General features: G+C 39.4%; 1 pseudogene across 1 annotated transcript, besides 2 other annotated features; it reads right to left on the bottom strand.

Annotated features, from left to right (window-relative positions):
- Positions 1 to 1369: 1369 nt before the first annotated feature.
- On the bottom strand, positions 1370 to 5207 carry NUDT4P2 (nudix hydrolase 4 pseudogene 2; annotated as a pseudogene). Its single transcript, NR_104005.1, has one exon. The product of NR_104005.1 is annotated as a nudix hydrolase 4 pseudogene 2 (transcript).
- Positions 4414 to 5307: an enhancer, noted in NCBI's record as "H3K27ac-H3K4me1 hESC enhancer chr1:145139173-145140046 (GRCh37/hg19 assembly coordinates)". NCBI's record gives its function as "activates a minimal SCP1, AML or CMV promoter by ChIP-STARR-seq in naive H9 embryonic stem cells {active_cell/tissue: H9 hESC(naive)}" and the evidence as "EXISTENCE:reporter gene assay evidence [ECO:0000049][PMID:30033119]".
- Positions 5308 to 6178: an enhancer, noted in NCBI's record as "OCT4-NANOG-H3K27ac-H3K4me1 hESC enhancer chr1:145140047-145140919 (GRCh37/hg19 assembly coordinates)". NCBI's record gives its function as "activates a minimal SCP1, AML or CMV promoter by ChIP-STARR-seq in naive H9 embryonic stem cells {active_cell/tissue: H9 hESC(naive)}" and the evidence as "EXISTENCE:reporter gene assay evidence [ECO:0000049][PMID:30033119]".

Below are 6995 nucleotides of genomic sequence, written 5' to 3'. Positions count from 1 at the left end.
TTTCCCTTCTCCATCCCTTACTCCTTCCTTCTCTTCCCCAGGCCTTCACAACCTCTAGATTTTATTACTAGCAACTTCTTAGGCCAATCCCATAGCATGCTCCTTCATGCATTACATGAACAAATTTTTTGAGGGTGCTGAACCAAACAATCAGGTGTCTTTTTTCAAGAGTGAACAAGAAGCCACTTTTTAAAAACAGTTTTACTGAGATATAATTTGTATTCTATAAAATTCGCATTTAAAGTGTACAATTCAATGGTTTTCAGTATATCTATTTAGCAGGGCACCCGTCACCATAATTAATTTTAGAATATTTTCATCATCTCCAAAAGAAACCTTATATTCATTAGCAGTCACTCATCAATTCTGTTCTCCCATACCCCACCCCTTTATTCCCTCTAGTCCTAGACAAACACTAATCTGCTTTCGGTTTCTATGGATTTGCCTATTCTGGACATTTTATATAAATGAGATCATATAATATGTGGTCTTTTGTGACTGGCTTCCTTCACTTAGCAGAATGTTTTTGAGGTTCATCTATATTGTGGCATCTATCTGTACCTCATTCCTTTTTATTGCCAAATAATATTTCATTGTATGGATATTTCACATTTTGTTTATCTGTTCATCAGTTGATGACAAATGGATTGTTTCTACTTTTTGGTTATTGTGAATAAAGTTTCTGTGAACATTTGTGCACAAGTTTTTGTATGGAAATATGTTTTCATTGCTTTTGGGTAGATTCCCAAGATAAAAGAATTGCTGGGTCATATGGTAACTCTATTTTTAGCATTTAGAGGGACTGTCAAACTTTTCCAATGTGGCTACACCATTTTACTTTCCCACTAGCAGTGTATGAGCTTTCCAATTTCTCCACATCCTTACCAACAATTATTATTTTCTGCCTATATTATTATAGCCATTCCAGTGGGTGAAAATTGATATCTCATTGTGCTTTTGATTTATATTTTCCTAGTGACTTTTCATGTGCTTATTTGCATATTTTTCTCTTGAAAAATATCTTGTAATCCTTTGCCCATTCCCAACTTAGATCATTTGTCATTTCTTATTGATTTGTGTTTTTTATATTCTAGTCCCTTAACAGATAGTATAATTTGCAAATATGCTCTCTGATTCTGTGGGGCTGTTCTTTCACTTGTTGGTGTCCTTGAAGCACAGAAGTTTTTCATTTTGATTAAGTTCAACTTATCAACTTTTTTTCTCTTTTATTATTTGTGCTCTTGATGTTGCATCAAAGAAATTACTGCCTAACTCAAAGTCACAAAGATTTACTGCTTAACTCAGGTCAAAAGAGTTAGTTTTCTTCTAAAAGTTTTATATTTTAGCTTCTTTTTTTTTTTTTTTTTCATTTTTTCCATTTTTATTTGATGTTTCCAAATATAAAAAAGTCAGGATGCTTACATCAATTATCTCAAATGAGACCATGCAAAGCAATTCAGTGTATACAACAATCATTTTTCCCCTTCAGTTCTGCTGCTTTATACAACAGTGTGATTGACAGAAAATTGGATGGCATGTGCCTGGTCAGAAAATGTCATCTGTTTACAAAATAACATCATGCAGCACAGTTTCTACTTTGTCTGCAAGTCAATTCACAAAAACTACTTATTTTCTGTTTTTTATTTGGGAGGCACATGGAACTGAAAAATTTAGCTGCCCAATTTTATTCAACTACCCCACCAAAAAAAAAAAAAAAAAATCACAAATGACAGTCCCAACACTCTGCAAATTTTGGAGGGTTGAGATAGTAGACACTATTTGTCATACTCAGCAGAGTTAACTACTTAACAGAAATAAATCTCCCTAGGGCCTTTCCTCTCATTTTGCTAGACTGGGTTCCAGGAGAATCGTGAAGAACCCCTCATGTAAAATTTGAAGTGTGAAAACTGTGTTGTTGCATTATGCAGATTTTTGCTAGTTGCATAGACTAAAGACGTTTTGCTAAATGGCACTGAAAATCCTTACCGAGTGTCACTATTCAGTACAAGTGTTTCTGACCAAAGAAAATTATACAACAATATTTATAGGCTAACTTTAAAGAGATGGTTGACGTTAATACTGTACATATTTTACATGTCAAATACATAGTCCAAGAGTTTATAAAATAAATTCATGCATCATTACCTTATTACCTCTAAGAATATCATGTACAAGATGGGCACTCCCCCACCCCCCCAGTACTTATGACAGCATTTCAGGTGGAAGCAGTCTTATATACAAAAACAATCCAGTTTCTCTGCTATGTTAAGTATATAATTTAAGGAAATTTCAGAGATTACTGACCAAAAAAATCTTAGTCCATTGAAGATAGAAAGTGTCAATTTGTGGGATTTAAAATGTTTCCTTTATAAAAGAACACCCAGAATATGTAACCTCTGTACAAAGAAAAAAATATACAAATTCTGGATGATCATGTTTGATCACACTACGTACTTGAAATGTTGCTGGTTAAAAGTTTTTCTGCTTTACTCATTCCTTTGACAGCATTAATTTGTGAACATTTATATTCAGTTCAGCTGTATTTATGGCACAAGATCTCATTTCCAAAATGGCACTAATTTTCCTTAAGTGTAACAGCACTCTATTTTTAGCAGTAATTATATTTTTAAAGGTTAATTTGTAGAACAAATGTTTTAACTATACTTTTTTTCTACTCTATACTCCCCAGTTACAATATTTACAAAGGGCTGAAGTCTATATAAAAAAATGATCTTTGGCTGGGCATGGTGGCTCATGCCTGTAATACCAGCACTTTGGGAGGTCGAGGCAGGCGGATCACGAGGTTAGGAGTTTGAGACCAGCCTGACCAACATGAAGAAACCCTGTCTCTACTAAAAATACAAAATTAGCCAGGCATGGAGGCAGGCTCCTGTAATCCCAACTACTCGGGAGGCTGAGGCAGGAGAATCGCTTGAACCTGGGAGGCGGAGGTTGCGGTGAGTTGAGATTGTGCCATTGCACTCCAGCCTGGGTGACAAAGCGAGTCTCAAAAAAAAAAAAAACATCTTTTACTTTCCCCCATCCCTCATTTTAGTCAAACTTCTCCCACCTCATTTCTGCCCTGGTTGGGGAAGTGCAAGAGTTTCAGATAAGGTACCTATGTGTTTTAGATGGGATTCTTGATTTTAAGTGAGTATAAAGTAAAAGACTTAATTCTTAGTTCAGGTATGTTCCAGTGCCTCGAAAGTTAGTTATGTGACAAATAGTACCTGTTGACAACCTAGAAAAGATGAGACATTCTAAGGTGCCCTAACAATCTTCAGTCTCTAACAGCTGAACAGGAAGGCCATTTCACTCAACTGTGATGCGATCATCACTGACTGGCATTTAGAATTAGATTTCAAGACTCCACTCCTGTGGGGGCCACTAAATAACTGAATACATTTTAAGAGCAATCTACACTGAGGGAAATAACGGTTCTAAGGTATTCTGCATAGAAAGAGTATCGATAATGGGAACTGGCAACTGAGCATGCTAAATCAAATTCCATGAATACAGTTTTCATAAGATGTCTTTACTACATGCATTTTGCTAATATTTCCCTAAAATATTCACCAACTCTACAGAGTTATACTTTGTGTTAAGGTACTATTGAGTTATAAGGGAAATAGCCATATCAGGTAGCTAGTGACATAATACCAGTTGTGAAAATTCAGACAAAATGAGTCGACAAATCCCCAAAAATGGCAAATTAAGCCCTGTGACAAAATAAGTTATTGGATCATACAGAAATAGCCCAAATCTGGAAATTTTGAATTAAAATTGTAATCCTGTAAAACAAGTTTTGGGGTGAATGGATTTCTTTAAAACCAATAATATTTTTAATTCCCACCACAGATGGATTTGCTGAATATGCTAATGCTGTGAATGAGAAAACAATTTTGGGGTAGGTATACCCACAAGTAATCTGATGACAAAATAAACCACAGACTGATGTCAAATGGACAAAAAACTGAAAATATGCTGTGAGAAATAGACAACCAAAATAATATAGGGGGTTGTGGGGTGTGGCACAGTTAAGGCATCTAAACAAAAATTCCACATGGCTTTGGCTTATTAAAATATTTTACACTATTTTTTTAAAAAAAGATTTGAAAGCATCTGAAAAACATGCAAATTGTTTGAAAACCTTGCATGGCAAATTCAGACAGTTTGCAAGCGTCAATCAGATGTTTGACGAGGAAACGAAAGAAGCCTCTCCCCATGAGACTGCACATGGTGGGAGAGGCCTACCCAGTTCTCTCTATCTTACACTAGATGGCAACCCAGAGGTCTGTGCAGCGGTTACAAACAAGGCATTATTATCCGGAAGGGAAGGGACTGTAGAATTTCCATTGGCTGGGGAACAACCCAGCTTTAGCTTTTCCAGATACTCTGCATGTACAGGTTTATGACACTGGAGAACTTTGATAGCATCTTCTACTTTGAACCACTCTCTCTTCCTTCCAATATTAACAGAATCTTCCCAATCTTCTAATATTTCAGTGACTGTTAGAACATAAACATATGTTCTGTGCTTTCGGTCTTGGTTCTGCTCAAATATGCCCAGAAGTCTGCCTAGTTTTCCTTTGACTCCAGCCTCCTCATAAACTTCCCTCACGGCAGCACCGCCAGGTTCCTCCTCGGGTTCCATTCCTCCTCCTGGGACAATCCACTGGTCTGGGTACCGGCTGCTACTCACCAGCAGCACCTCGTCCTCCTGCTCGCTCCGGAAGCACAGGCACGCCGCCCGCTTCTTGAAGCCCTCGCGGTCGTAGGTCCGCGTCTGGTTGGGCTTGAACTTCATCATAGAGGCGGGCTCCTGCTGCTGCTGCTGCTGCTCCGGCCGCCGCCGTGGGGGCCCGGCCGCCGCCACCCCGCCGGGGAGTGGGGGCGAGGGCGAGTCGGGCGCAGGAGCGCCCGGGAGCGCTAGTCGGTGCGGGAGGTGCGGCGAGGCCGGTCAGTCCCGGGGCCGGCGGCCGCTCCGACGCGGGCGGGACGGGACGCTAGCGCGGGTCACTGGAACCAGGGTGCCGAGATGAAAGCTCCGCCTCTGCCCAGTTGTCCGCCGCTCTCCATGGAGCCCGACTCCCGCTCGCCTCCGCTCCCTCCAGCCGTAGCCGCCAGGGGAAGGGCGGCTAGAGGCGCGCGCCACGCGGAGACAGTTGCGAAGACCCGCTCCCACTGAGCAGCAGCACCACGGCGACTGTATTTTAGCTTCTACATTTAGGCCTATGATTCACTTTGAGTTAATTATTGTGTACAATCTTAGGGGTCCAAATTAATTCTTTTGCGTGTGGATATCCAGTTGCCCAGCACCACTTGTTGAAAAGACCATTTTTTTTTCCCCATTGAATTGTCTTGGCTCTTTCGTTGAAAATCAATTGATTGTAACTGTTAGGGTTTATTTGTGATTCTCAATTCTGTTCCATTGATCTGTATGTTTATCCTTCTGTCAGTAACACACTGTCTTTGTTACTGTAGTTTTGTTGTAAGTTTTGAAATTGGGAAGTGTGAATCCACCAACTTTGTTCTTCATTGTTTTGGCTTTTATGAGTCCCATGCATTTCCATATACATTTTAAGAGCAGCAGAAATTGACAAGTTGATTCTAAAATTCATTAAAAACCCTCACTTCTAAGAAACAATTAAAATATTTTCTTTCCAACTTAGGATGAAATTGGATAAGGAGGACTGAGCAGGTACATTTTTGAGTTGTGGTGATGGGGGATGGGTCATTTGAAAGGGGGACCAACCTGATGGAGGAGGGGAATAAAGGAGCCACAAAGTTTGGTAAACTTCCCACCCTGGTGAGAGGAATGTTTGTTCAGAGGAGGCAGTTTGTTCTAACACCAGGGAATATTATGAAAGATAATTGAAATTGTAAAGTCCATTGATATCTCCCCAGAAGACAAAAAGGTCTCTAAGTAAGCAGTATTGTTAGCTTGTTGATTCTTACAGAAGAAGATTTTCATCCAACTAAGGGAAGCAGCTGGGACTTTCTCAGGGCTGTAAGACAGAAAAAAAATGAAGAAATCCTTCTGTATCTTTTCTTACCTCTCCCTGTGGCCAGCCCTAACTTTTGTCCATTTTTGTTACCCTTCCCTTTTATAAGCTCCCCAAAAAGAGAGAGAGGAGAAAGAGAAAAAGAAGAAAACCACAGTGGGAGAGAGGGTTAGAGATCCTGGGGATGGGGGAGGAATCCTGGAGCATTTCAAATTAAAGATCCCTAAGGTACTATGGGTGGAACCTACTAAGTAATATGACAACTTGTAGCAAGAGTCATAAGGATGATCACATCTTCAACTCAGTGATCCAATTCCTGGGAATTTATGTAAGGAAATAAGACAGGCAAAAAGTGTGAGTGGGAATGTTAATGAAAATATTACCTATAATAGTGCAAACAGGAACAACCTAAATCACCAAAATAGAAGCATGTTTTATGACATCATGGCATGTAAAGATGGCAGATTATAATACTAGCTTCACTGTCAAAATATACTCTGAATTGTATCACTTTTCACTGCATTCTGTATCACTCTGGATCAAGTCACTATTATTCCTCATCTGAATTATTGCAATGGCCTCCCAACTGGCATTTCTGCTTTCACCCTTGTTCCCCACCCCCGGTCTACTCTCAACACAGCACCCTTAGCAGTCCTTTAAAAACTTAAATGTAAAATTCATATGGAATCATAAAAGGGCCTAAATAGCCAAAGCAATCCTAAGCAAAAAGAACAAATCTGGAGGCATCACATTACCCAACTTCAAATTATACTACAAGGTTATAGTAATCGAAACAGCATGGTACTGATATAAAAGTAGATGCATAGACCAGTGGAACAGACTAGAGAACCTGGAAGTAAAGCCAGATACTTAGAACCAACTGATCTTCAACAAAGCATACAAAAACATAAATTGGGAAAAGGACACCCTATTTAGTAAATGGTTCTGTGAAAACTGGAGAGCCACTGGATAGAAGAATGAAACTGGATC

The sequence above is a fragment of the Homo sapiens genome, chromosome 1, assembly GCF_000001405.40.
Source record: "Homo sapiens chromosome 1, GRCh38.p14 Primary Assembly".
In the NCBI taxonomy this organism is placed as follows: Eukaryota; Metazoa; Chordata; class Mammalia; order Primates; family Hominidae; genus Homo; species Homo sapiens.
The sequence above is the reverse complement of the archived record's forward strand: the minus strand, read 5'-3'. Positions and strand labels throughout refer to the sequence as shown.